The sequence below is a fragment of the Homo sapiens genome, chromosome 4, assembly GCF_000001405.40.
Source record: "Homo sapiens chromosome 4, GRCh38.p14 Primary Assembly".
Taxonomy (NCBI): Eukaryota; Metazoa; Chordata; class Mammalia; order Primates; family Hominidae; genus Homo; species Homo sapiens.
The window spans coordinates 16,219,643-16,232,078 of NC_000004.12; the positions used below are offsets into that span (position 1 = coordinate 16,219,643).

Sequence of the window (12,436 nt, forward strand, 5' to 3'; positions counted from 1 at the left end):
ATTTTAGGGATTAGGATCCTTCTACTTTATAGTATAAGGCAGTTTACAAAGGTCTTGCACACATTACTTCATACAATTCTTGCAACAATCATGAGAGTTAAACAGAGCAATTAATGGTGTCCATATTTTGTCCATTTTCATATTATGAAAAAACTGAGGTTCACAGAAGTTGAGAGACTTGTCCAAAGTCATTGAAAAGCTAAGTGACAAATTGGGAATAGTACCTAGTCCAGCGTGCTCTCTCCCCTACATCAAAATGATCAACCATCTCTCTGACAATTATAATTTGGCTGTGATTCATGGTGAAGGAGGTAGGAGGGTACAGTGCCTCACTGCCAGAGCCATCGAGTTAGCCTCGCTGCTTCTGCTCTGCCAGGACCATTCCCACCTTTTCCTGGAGAAGGCTGCATTTCCCAGAGCGCCACTCAATCTCCAGTGCCGAGGTATACCTGCGTTTCAGTGTTTCGCTTGTTTTTATTTTGTTAAACATTGCTCTCTAGAATTCTATAGACCTATCTGAACTTATCTGTCCTATAATTTTGGCTACAGTTGACTGGTTAATTATTTAGCAAAGCCACTGTTCTTTACCTATGGGTATCACCAAGAACTCTGACAGCTAAGTACATCTTAACTTCTGTCAGACTTTTGCAGTATTTCATTCCTTCTAAGCAAAACAGTCACTCTCATTTGTTATGCCAAACATCTACCTCTACGTTTTAAAAATAAGTATTTTTCCAATAATCCAAATATTTACTTTCTGAACACTGATTTCAGTTTTTAAGATGTCAATTAATCTTAGTTCATTTATCCCAATCTTACCAGGAAGAAATATCATTCAGTAAAAGTTTTTTAAAAATAGACACTTTGGGAGGCCAAGGCGGGTGGATCCCAATGTCAAGAGATGGAGACCATCCTGGCCAACATGGTGAAACCCCGTCTCTACTAAAAATACCAAAATTTGCTGGGCATGGTGGTGCACGCCTGCAGTCCCAGCTACTTGGGAGGCTGAAGTAGGAGAATTGCTTGAACCCAGGAGGCGGAGGTTGCAGTGAGCCAAGATCGCACCACTGTACTCCAGCCTGGTGACAGAGCGAGACTCTATCTCAAAAAAAAAAAAAAAGAAACATTTTACTATTATAGCATAAACAAGTGCTTAACATTAGAAGAACTATGTTTTGACAACTGTGAATTTTCTTTTTTTTTTGAGACAGGGTCTCACTCTGTTGCCCAGGCTGCAGCCCAGTGGCACAATCTTGGCTCACTGTATTTTTTATAGAGACAGGGTTTCACTATGTTGCCTAGGCTGGTCTTGAACTCCTAGGCTCAAGCAATCCACCCGCCTTGGCCTCTCCAAGTGCTACGATTATAGGTGTGAGCTACCGTGCCCAGCCGTCAACTGTGAATATGTAATATGAGGAAAATAATACCAATCATAAATCCAAATCAATTCCTCCAGCACATACGTACATATATATATACTTTTTTTTTGGAGACACAGTCTTGCTCTGTCACCTGTTGCCCAGGCGTGAGTGCAGTGGCACGATCTCGTCTCACTGCAACCTCCACCTCCACCTCCTGGGTTCCAGCAATTCCCCTGGCTCAGCCTCCAAGTAGCTGGGATTACAGGCGCACACCTCCACGCCCAGCTAATTTTTTGTATTTTAGTAGAGACAGGGTTTCACCGTGTTGCCCATACTGGTCTCGAACTACTGAGCTCAGGCAATCCACCCGCCTCAGCCTCCCAAAGTGCTGGGATTACAGGAGTGAGCCACCGCGCCCAGCCCCTCCAGCATATTTTTACATGATATCATCTCCTACCACAGAATTGCTCTGTGATCCAGAACTTAAATTCAGAAAAAGCATAGTATAAATTGCTTTTTCTTCACCCCTAAAAGAAAAAACACAATGTTTAATTATCTTCTAAGAAAGCTTATTTTAGAAATAAGAACCAAAGATTAAAAAGTATTAATTAAAAGTAATGAGTAATCATAAATATATTTATATGTTCAGTAATATGTCTAAATATATCTTTCTTAAAATAGCATTGAGCATTTAAAAATTTGGAAAGTAATACTGGTTAACTGTTAGGAAAATATGAAACATGCATATCTCCATAGTCTTAAATAACATAAAACTTTAGTAAACTTTATTAAGGTTACACTAAAATATTAAATAAGCTTATTGAACAGAGACACACTCTTGTACCAGGCCAATTAGTAATCAGCTTTTCTGGGACTCAATCATACAACAGCAATTCTGCCTTCCTAAGTCAAACATTAAGTAAAGAACCATTTCACACAGTATATTCAAGTTTTTAAGATGTTTGAAAAAATGTTTATAGTCTCATTTAGAGGAGTAAAGAGTAGAATATTTACACATGTATAGATGGAAAACAGGTATAAACAAAGGAGTGACTTTTTCCAAGGTCATAAGGTTATAAAGCAAAGGATTACAAATGAGAATAGAATATCATTAATTTGACAGTCAATGCTATATAGGCTTTCCAGAGACTTCTTTTATGCAAGTAGTCCCCAAATTGGAGCACAAATGAGCTGCTAGGATTGAATTTCAGAGCGTAAACTAAGTTAAAGTTAAAAACTGTCAAAAGCCAAGACACTGAACTGATCAAAAACCAAAATAAGTAACTTTTCATTGTTCGTTTGGTCTATATATACTAATTAAGTAAAGCAAGTGAGAATTTTAAAAGCAAAGCAATAGTTTGTCAGAAGTAGCTAATTTTACTTTGTATCTGGTTTGTGGTTACTCCAAGTAATTTCCCGGTTTTATTATTTTTATTTTTCTTTGTGAACAAATTAATTGGCTCTAGATCATAATTTTAGAATCAGTCACCCTTTAATCATCCATTTGGTTAAGTTTGGGGCCACTGGGATAACTATGTGATATAGGTGAAGACTGGTTAAATGAAAACATATTTTAATAAAAATGTATTTGTAAGAAGAAACTGACAAATTTTCAGTTACACAAAGAATAAGACATAGGTAATATGAATAGTTAAAACCTTCGTCCCACTCGAAATCTTTTAAGGGTATTGCTAAAAATTCAGTTGACTTTTCTGGGTTTCATTCTTCCTGCCTCTGCTCAATCTCTAACAGAGGTGAAGCAAGAAGAGGTCTAACCATGGTTAAAGGGAGAGGAGAGAGGCAAAAGAGATGGATAATAAGTTGAAGTTTTAGAAGTCCAGAGTCACTGTTAAAGAAGAAAGAAATGGGTCCATGGCACTGTTACCAGTAGAAACAATATGTTCACCTATACCCGACTTCAGGCTTTCTTGTTTTACAAGCAATACCTATCCCCATGCATCTCCAACACCTGCATTACACAGGTACTGTTTCACCTGTGCTACCCTCACAGGTGCTACCCTTATTTACACCAAGCCTTCTGTTAAGTCTCCATGGTGACTAGAAGCAACCTAGATGCTTCAGATACTGAACTATCTAGTAGTGGCATTATGAAACAGAACCAAACTGATTAGGCAAGCAGTCTAAGCAAGCACAGAGTTTACAAAGCAATTCAACAACCCAACCAAGCCAAAAACACAGATTTCCTAATGCTTAGTCCAAAGTTGATTTGCTGTACTTAGATTCCTAAATAAAAATATGGCTATACAGAAACTCTCCTACCTAGGACTTCTGCAGATGAATCAAGTGGGGAACAAGCACAAAAACATAACATTGATTATTTGGTTTTATGTCAAAAGGAACAACAGAAGTTGGTAGTATTTTCAAGGACAGGAAGAAAATACAGAAGAGATCAATCTGCAGTTCTTGATAACCACTACATCCAGAGTTCAAGGCCAGTAACCACATATGCAACAAGGAAATACACAATGACCATTCTGAGAGAGCAAATAAAAACAGGAATGATGAGTGGGATTCCCAATTCTAACTATGTTAAAAGGTGTAAGTACTCGCATCTGAGACATGCGTCAGCCTATTGCCAGGCTAAATATAAGTCAGAACGGGAGTTCTGAGAACGAAGTGATGAGGAAAAGAAAGCTTAGACTTAATGGAGACACATGTTTAGTATAATACAATATAGAGCATATACAGCTATTCATACAGACAAATATACATATCTAGTTTCTAAACATATAAATCAACAAGGAGAGATATAAAACAAAAAATGAACCTCAGACACCACGTTTTATTTTATTCAGATGGAAAGAGTTTGGATAAGTACCTAATATGTACATTCATTTAGGGAATTCTAGGCTGTTGGGACTGATCAACAAATGTCTTACCTGTAGGAGCCCTAAATTCCTTGTGAGAAATGATAAAGGGAACTTTGGAACTGACTGATGGTTCAGCCACCAAGACACTAAGATTATGACTTTCAAAAAGAAAAGCCAAAGGTTGCCTTAACTTGCAGGGGGATCTAGATCTCAAGGGCAGTGGTGCTAGACTCTCAGAGGCACACAAGAATATAAAAAAATCAACAAGTAATACCTTAAGTCCGAGCATCTAGCCGTGGAGGACTAGTTTGATTCAGGGAGAAATGCTATCCAAATGACTCCAGGTGCTGCCACTCAAAGGCCCTCTGACCCAGGCCAGCTCCTAGGGAATCGTTTTTAAAAATTCTTAAAAGGAGGGGAAGGAAGGATTACAGAGCAGGGGAAGAGGGCAGCGCTAGACTTAGCAGCCTGGGCATTGAAGAAGGACTAAAATAATTGTTTCTAGTGGGGAAACCTCTAACAAATATGGTTATCGGAGCTACAGACTGGGTGCTAGCAGTGGCAGGAGCTATGTGACTAGCAGAGCAGGGACACCAGGGGAAAAGAAGGAGGGGCTTATGTGGAGGCTCAGAGAGAACACTGGCCAGTGGCTCCAGCTGAAATACTCCTGGAATTTGGAATTCTCACCTAAATCCTGATCGCCAAGGCTAGTGTGACTTGGTAAAGCAGGAGTGGCCACTGACATCTCCTCACACAAAATCAATGGAACTGGGGAAAGAACAAGGACTACCCCAACAGCTAAACCTGGAGGCATCTCCCTGATAATGACTTCCTGCAACTATGGGTTAAAAAAAATCCAGCCTTAAACATGGTGAACCATGTTGGTGAAGAATGGATACGTGGTATAATGAAGTCCATGGAAGTCCAGGTATCCAGTCCCAGAAAAAGCCAGGGAAGAAGTGTTAAGTGATACTGCAAGCTCAAGATCTGTGCTCATCAATAGGCTTCAAACAACTTCATTTCCTCTCCACGCAAACAACAAAAAAAGGCTTTTAAAATGGTGGCTTTCCTGCAACTGAGAAATGTTTTAAAGAAAGTATAGTGAAGCCTGGCTACATCTATCTCTATTTACAACAGAGTGCTTTTAATATTCAAGTCTAAGTAAGTAAACAGACAGTTGAGAGATTTGCTATTTTGTCTTACTGAGATCCTGCCAATGAAGAAAGTAAATACTCTTGAAAGCAAATGTTTAACTGAGAACTAAACCAAATAAAGTATGGTTGAGAATTTTTAAGTGGTTAATTGAAAAAGACCAAACAAGACCGTCTGTAATTTTCCAAAAATATAGACTGCTTCAAATAGAACCTACGTCCAGTTCTGGGAATCAGCAAATCAATTAGAATCGCATCTGATCAACTTTATGCCCCTTAAGTAGTTTTAAAATTTCAGTACTCAAGTACAATCAATGATGTAATCAGCCTCACAACTTAGTTATTTGCATGAACTTCAGGAAATAACGGCTAACACAGCCCCTTTTGGACAACAGAAGTAATTTTTTAGTTGGAAGAAATTTAATGGAGTTATGGTTCAGTTGCTGTTTACAGCTTGAGAATTAAAACGTTGGGTTCACTCTATATTCAAGAAGACATCCATCTCAAAACCTTTTTTCATTTAAAACTAATCTGTAACTGCAATATGAATACAAATGCAAGTTTTAAAAATTCTTTTAAAATGAGAATAAAAACCTACAGCTTATAGAAACTGTAACATTGTAACAATACGTTTAAAACTGGTCATTGAATGTAGGATTCATAAGTACACATTTTCTCATCTAGTAATTTTTTTGGCATAAGTTTCAGTTCAGGAAAAGTTCAGATGCAACATTTTATGGAGTGTTAAATATTTCTGTACTGGGCAAAACTACTGAACTTCATGGTCACTACCACACCGTCAGCTGTCTGTGAAAAATCTACTTGCAGGGCAAGTTAACAGGTTTCTATGGCTCAAGTTTGCTTAAAATACAGAACAAAAAAAGTCACCTTGGCATGAATATAATTAAGAAATCAGCCGTGTGCTTCTCACGTTTGGGCTCCGAGACGTGGGAGATGCCCGCTAACCTAAGACCTTCCGAGGGCGATGCAAGGACCCGGACAGAACTTTCCCGGCCGCAGACCCCTTCTAGGGCACACCTGGCCTGGCGCGGCCGCGGGGGCCTCGGGGCTGCGCGCGCAACCCGCCCGAGGAACTGTCAACGGCCGCGGAGCCTCGGCAGCCTCGGCGGCTCCGCGCGCCCACAGCCTGGGGAGCCCCGGGAGGCAACGGCAGCCGCGCGGCTCGGGGGCCGGGGTTCCAAGGCGCCCCCGCCGCCCTCGGTCCCCAGTCCGCCCCTCGGAGCCCGCCACGGCCTAGCGCCGCCCGCCTCACCTGTGCGGCCCCGGCGCCTCTCCCGCCGCCGGTCGCTCTCGTAGAAGCCCAGCGTCTCTGTGAGCTGAGGCGCCGGCGGGGGCCCCTGTCCGCCGCTGCCGCCCGGCTGCTCCGCCTCGCCGCGGCCGTCCCGCTGCGGGCCGTCCACGCCGCCACCGCCGCCTTCTCCCGGAGCGGCCGCGTCGCCGACGCCCGCCATGTTCCGAGCACAACAAACTGTCCCCGCCGCCTCCCTCCAGCCTCTGCCTCCGGCCGGCCCCCTCCCCGCCTCGCCCCGCCCCTCGCCGGAGCCCGAGCCGCCGCCGCCGCCGCCGCCATCCGCGGCCCGCCGACCGGCGCGAGCCATTGGCGTCAGCGACGCGTGTGAGGCCGCTGCCGCCGCCGCCGCCGCCACGGTAGCCGCCATCTTCTTCCTGCCCTCGCCGTGGCGGGCGACGGTTTCTCGCGCCGTGGCTGGCTCGGCCGGCCGGGGCACCGCGCCGGGCTCCATGCAGCCGGGCTGCGCGGTCCCGCAGAGCGGGCGCCTCCGGGGCTCGAGTCGGGGACCCGGCAGGAGCGGGCCGGGGATGGCGGCGGCGGGCGGCGGGTCGGCCGTGGAGCCCCGGAGAGGCGGCCGCCACCACCGCTGCCCGCAGTCTGCGAGGTGTCCGGCGGTCCGCTCAGGGCCTCTTTTGCAGACTCGGTGCCCGGAGTGCGCCGGCGCCGCCCGCCAGGTCTTGGCACTGCTGGCGCGGCCGCGGCGGCGGGGGCCCGGCTCCAGATCACCGACCCCCACGAGCGCCGGCCCTGCCTGCCCGCTATTTTGGTTCCATCTCTTCTGCATATTTATGCTTGCCTGTTACATTCCCTGGCCTCTGAGTGTCCTTTGGCAGTTTCCAAAGCATTTGGGCAAGAAGGAGCTTGGGCAGCTTCACAACAGGTGGGGACGCGCAGGGGAGGGGCCGCGGCCGGACCGGCAGAGTTTCAAGGGCTGGCGCGCCGGCGGACTTTCCACACTGTCTTTCGGGACTGGGGTTAGGAGACAGCCCTTGGCCACCACTGTGTCCTTACTTTGTCGCTTTACTTGGGGCTGGACCTCCCCTTTCCAGCTCTGGCGTGTGACCCCGCAACGAGCGTGGTGTCGAGACCACCACCAGCTGGGGCGGTGGGAGCGAAGGTGCCCCAGGCTCGGGGAAGGTGGAAACCTTTTCCCCGCTCCCCAAGTGATTGTTGCGCGCTCCGGTGAGGGGACAGTGGTACCTCGATTTCCCGTGTGCCAGCTTCGGGACTCAGCTGTGCTTTTGTGTCTCTTTGATTAGCAAAAGCAAAACGAATTCCTCCCCGAACACTAAGCTTCCTGGAAACTTCCCTAGACCTAAACTTGAGAACCGCATATAAATGGGCCTTGAGGGTTCTGTCGTCAGTAGCGGGTTACGTGATTGCAAACGAGCAAGTTTAAAACGGAGTGGGCTTTGGGCTGCAGAGCCGCCTGGCATTCTGACAGCTGAGCAGGAGGCAGAGGTGAGAGTCCAAGATGGACTAAAAATGTCCCAGCAGCTGGGAGCCCAACCTCGGCCCAACCTCGTTGAAAGGAGGAACATTCGGTGCAGCCGTCGGAACCTTATTATTTATGAAAGGGGACAGCTCACAGGATTACATTTTTCTAAGCCAATCCTGTGACCATCCTCCATGAAATTCTCTATTTTGGTTGCATGTGGTCAAAACTGAGCCTCACTGAAACAATTGAAAACAAATACTCCCGACAAATCTTAAGAATCGTTTTGAAAATCAAAAGGTGGGGAAAATGTTGTGGCTTCTGAGCTTTCTTCAGCCCATATTCTATTATTCTCTGATGTTTTATGGTGTAAAATCATACCCATTCCATTATGTATTGATTGTCAAGAAGGAAGTAGGCTTTTATTGCTATTTTTATGTCAGTTTCCATTTACTGTCTCACCACATTTATTGGGTTATTGCCTTTGCCTTTGACTCAACAGGAGCTGGAAGGGTAGGAATCCCAAATTCTGTTGCCTAAGGCAGCCAGTTGTCAGAATGGACTTTCCTCATTTTCTATTATGAGGCCTGAGGAAAGACATTCAGTTCCAAAGGCTGTGCCTATCCTTTTAAATAGAAGAGAGAGGGCCCGGCACGGTGGCTCACGCCTGTAATCCCAGCAGTTTGGGAGGCCGAAGGGGGCGAATCACGAGGTCAGGAGTTCCAGACCAGCCTGGCCAACATAGTGAAACCCCGTGTCTACTAAAGATACAAATATTAGCCGGGCGTAATGGCGGGCGCCTGTATTCCCAGCTACTCGGGAGGCTGAGGCAGGAGAATGGCTTGAATCCGGGAGGCGGAGGTTGCAGTGAACCGAACCGAGATCGCGTCGCTGGACTCCAGCCCGGGCGACAGAGTGAGACTCCGTCCCAAAAAAAAAAAAAAAAAAAAAAAAAAAAAAAAAAAAAAAAAAAAGAAAAGAAGAAGAGGAAGCAGCCGTGCCAAAAAAAAAAAAAAAAAGAAGAGGAAGCAGCCGTGCCGAGGCTAGGTACTGCCTAAAGAAGCGGGGGAACAAATTGGAAATGTGGGAATGCGAATGTGGGCAAGTTGAGGAACTTGTAGCTTCTCGTCGGTTGAATCTTTTCACTGAAGCTGCTTTATTATATCTGACATGTGAAACTACACAATTTCAAACAAACCCATATTGAAGTCAACATACAAAAAAGCATTTAAAAAACAACCATTAGTAAAAATAATTTTTTCAGTTAACGCTATTCTTCCCTTGTATAGGTGTTGATAATCATATAATCAAATAGCTTATTGCATATGGAGAGTTGTTTTCTTTGAGTTAATTCAACGTATTGCAACTTAGTTAGAATCCAGGAAAATAGTATTTTCAAATGTGTATTTGGAATCTTCAAAATACTAGGTTACAAATTACCTTAAGAGATATTTATGCAGCATAGAAGAACCAGCAGTTCTCAGAGGAAGATAAATAGTTAAAATATCATAATGCACTTTATATCAGTTGTAAAAAGAAAAATACAGGCTTAGATTTATGGTATTACCGTTAGAAAAACAATATGAGTATTTAAGAAACATAGCAACCCTAGCCATTAAATAGGCATCAAATAACATTCTGAATTAAGTTATAAGATAAAACCAAGATTTGGATGACAATGACAATATTGTCCATCATTGTTATCCAAATCCTGGTTTTATCTTATAACTGGTTTTAGGGGCAATTGTAGTGAATTGCCCCTAAAAGATGTTTGAAATTCGTTTCATACACTTTTCCTGAATCAACTTAAGTATTGATTTCACAAACAATAAGATGGTGTGCCGTAGCATGTCATCGCACTAGAAAGAAAAAAAGTACTCCACCAGTGGGAAATAATTTCAGCAGAGGAAAGTGATGAATATTGGATGTGTGTTTAGAAATCAGAGGTTGATAAAGTCTTAAGATTGCTATATGCACTATGAGGCTAATGTATTTTGAAAATTGCAAAACAATATTTTTTAAACAACAAAAATTTGGTGAGTAGCATACGCAGACTTCAAAAATAAATTGCGTAACTTCATATTTCAGTAATTAAAGATTTAACAATAGTGATTTTGTGGCTAAACAAAATATACTGAACCCATTATGTATAAACCATGGATTCAGAGCTCCAGAAAATTATCTTAATGAGGCATATAAACTCTTTTTGTTTAATGTCCACACCAAATCATTATGGTCTGCCATTTCATGAAATAACAAGTTTTAAAATAAGTGATGTTTTTTAGTTTGTATATCTATATTCTTTTCTACCAGGTATAGCACAGTGTAGTACAAGGGCCTACAGTTACAAGCCTTGGGAAAGATACTGTTTTGGCCACATATTTCAGCTATGTGACCCTGGAAAGAGGGTCTCAGAGGGCCACTGTGGCCCTCAGTGTCTTTTCATTGGTAAATTGGGGCAACATCTTTTGTATAATGAAAGCTGAAAAAAATAACGATTTTCCTTTTATTCTCCCTTCCTTTCATTTAGGCTGTAGTTTTCACTTTTTAACTACAAAGCAATTTATCTCTTGATAACACTTCTAGTGTATTGTCCCTAAAGTACTTTTGAAAGTAGTTCTGTACACTTTTCCTGAGTAATAAAAACATCACATATTTGCTAACTTGAAAGAATCCCGAGTCAGGAGATGGCCTGGATTCTCTCTGACCCTTCAACTAAAGTCTTTGACCAAAGGAGCACAGGTGACCCCTTTCTGCTTCATTTTCTGACCTGTAGAGTATTGGACTCAATGACCGATCCTCCCTTGTAGCTCCAAAATTCTGGGCTAAACTCCATGCACCTCCCTTCTGAGTTAAAAATAGTAGACAGGCCTGCATTATCAACATTTGTAGAAAAATATGAAATGCTTAGAGTCACTTTGTAATTGAGTCTAAGATTTGAATGCATAGAGTTCAAATGCAATACTTGTGTTGATAACACAACAAAGACATGTAAGTTTTTATGTACCTTTATGTTCTATGCATTAGTCCTTCATTCCTTGGCATGAGGAGAAGTGATGGTTTCTCAGTGACCTTCCAGAACTCTAAGGCTGTGTTTCTCACACCAGGCCTCAGGGTTTCTACATTTTGAACAAATTTCCAGTATTGTACCCATGCACACCTGAGTCTAAGAACTCTGCTGTAAGGTGACATTAAACAGCACCTGAAGTTATATTTGAGATGATTACTCAGTAATCAATGTACAGTTGATTTTCATAGTGTGGATTCAAGCACGGAATAGAGCACAGTTTTAATTAAATCTGTATTTCTCAGTTGAAACTTTATTTTAGCATTACATGACTTCTATTTCATGAATCATAAATGTCATGTTTCTTCACAAACTGTAGTTCTGAATTTAACTCATTCACCATTTTGTCGTCAAAAAGAAGAGTTGATGTTGTTGAAAGATCTAAACAGCTTTGCAGCTGATGTTCTAAAGAAATAAAATATACCACTGAACCCAGATCAAGCCTTTGCACTAAATTAATGTGAGTTTGAATTTCTGAGTTTCAGTAGTAATATTTTCTATCTTTGGCAATCATTTTTGGACTGACGCTCATTACGTTTTATTCTCTTTGGGCTTTATTCCATGGATTTGTAAAGGACACCAGTTCGCTTTATTTCTGGAAGATGTAACACAAATTAAGTAATGTGCCTTTGATTCCAATGTAACTGTTACACCTTAACTAAAACTGTCATGAGCAACATCATTTTTAAAAGCATTTCTTTGACGTGCAAATATATGACAGAAACCATTGTAAATAGGACTTTTTGAAAACAATACTTTGCTAAAAGGGGTGTTTTATGAAGGATATTATGTTCTGAAGACCTAAAGGTAGGTTCTGTTTATGTAATAAAAGTGTATGAACCTATATAATTTCATGGCTTATTGGCTTATAGGGCCTTTTATTCATGATCAGATATAAAATTTATTTTGTGCTGTACTTTAAATTTCTGGAAAATTTCAAAATACTGATGAAAGGGGCCCTGGTAATGACTCAGCAGACTTTCCATTCCAGATTTATCTCTAAGAAAAAAGAAGTGTTTCTCATTATCACGATGAAAATAAATAGAGGTTGTTTCAAACCGTATTAATCATTTAGTCGGTTAATTAACAAGAATCCTTTTGCAGAATAAATTCAGACCTTCTAGTAAATGTGTTGATAACTGTCAAAAATCCTTTTTTATAATTCTAGCTAGCAAAGGCTTTCATTTTGGAATTCAGGAAGCAGGGGAGATTTTATTTATCACCCAGTTCCTGTTGCTAGTCCTTTTGAATTTTGCCTTTCAGAGTTTTTTTTTTTTTT

At 42.3% G+C, this 12,436-nt stretch overlaps 1 protein-coding gene and 1 long non-coding RNA gene across 8 annotated transcripts in view, besides 6 other annotated features; one reads left to right on the forward strand and one right to left on the reverse strand.

Annotated features, from left to right (window-relative positions):
* TAPT1 (transmembrane anterior posterior transformation 1) overlaps positions 1–7,748 on the reverse strand; it is a 66,886-nt gene extending 59,138 nt beyond the window's left edge. For 5 of the 6 annotated variants that reach the window (XM_011513816.4, XM_011513812.4, NM_153365.3 and 2 more), the window contains exon 1: positions 6,617–6,829. Coding sequence is in view for 4 of the 6 variants with exons in the window: in XM_011513812.4 (XP_011512114.1) it covers positions 6,617–6,815 (199 nt within the window). In the remaining 2 variants the exon portion in view is untranslated. Of the gene's footprint in view, positions 1–6,616; positions 6,830–7,666 lie in introns of those variants that run through there. The other variant, XM_047449754.1, reaches the window with a different exon arrangement.
* Positions 6,382–6,761: a silencer, noted in NCBI's record as "silent region_15304". NCBI's record gives its function as "represses an Ori minimal core promoter by ATAC-STARR-seq in GM12878 lymphoblastoid cells {active_cell/tissue: GM12878}" and the evidence as "EXISTENCE:reporter gene assay evidence [ECO:0000049][PMID:35858748]".
* Positions 6,872–6,921: a silencer, noted in NCBI's record as "silent region_15305". NCBI's record gives its function as "represses an Ori minimal core promoter by ATAC-STARR-seq in GM12878 lymphoblastoid cells {active_cell/tissue: GM12878}" and the evidence as "EXISTENCE:reporter gene assay evidence [ECO:0000049][PMID:35858748]".
* Positions 6,932–7,031: a silencer, noted in NCBI's record as "silent region_15306". NCBI's record gives its function as "represses an Ori minimal core promoter by ATAC-STARR-seq in GM12878 lymphoblastoid cells {active_cell/tissue: GM12878}" and the evidence as "EXISTENCE:reporter gene assay evidence [ECO:0000049][PMID:35858748]".
* The window catches only part of TAPT1-AS1 (TAPT1 antisense RNA 1), a 31,525-nt gene continuing 26,109 nt past the window's right edge, over positions 7,021–12,436 (forward strand). For both annotated transcript variants that reach the window (NR_027696.1, NR_027697.1), the window contains exon 1: positions 7,021–7,535. This is a non-coding gene — a long non-coding RNA (TAPT1 antisense RNA 1). The remainder of the gene's footprint in view (positions 7,536–12,436) is intronic.
* Positions 7,042–7,111: a silencer, noted in NCBI's record as "silent region_15307". NCBI's record gives its function as "represses an Ori minimal core promoter by ATAC-STARR-seq in GM12878 lymphoblastoid cells {active_cell/tissue: GM12878}" and the evidence as "EXISTENCE:reporter gene assay evidence [ECO:0000049][PMID:35858748]".
* Positions 7,172–7,371: a silencer, noted in NCBI's record as "silent region_15308". NCBI's record gives its function as "represses an Ori minimal core promoter by ATAC-STARR-seq in GM12878 lymphoblastoid cells {active_cell/tissue: GM12878}" and the evidence as "EXISTENCE:reporter gene assay evidence [ECO:0000049][PMID:35858748]".
* Positions 7,882–7,941: an enhancer, noted in NCBI's record as "active region_21347". NCBI's record gives its function as "activates an Ori minimal core promoter by ATAC-STARR-seq in GM12878 lymphoblastoid cells {active_cell/tissue: GM12878}" and the evidence as "EXISTENCE:reporter gene assay evidence [ECO:0000049][PMID:35858748]".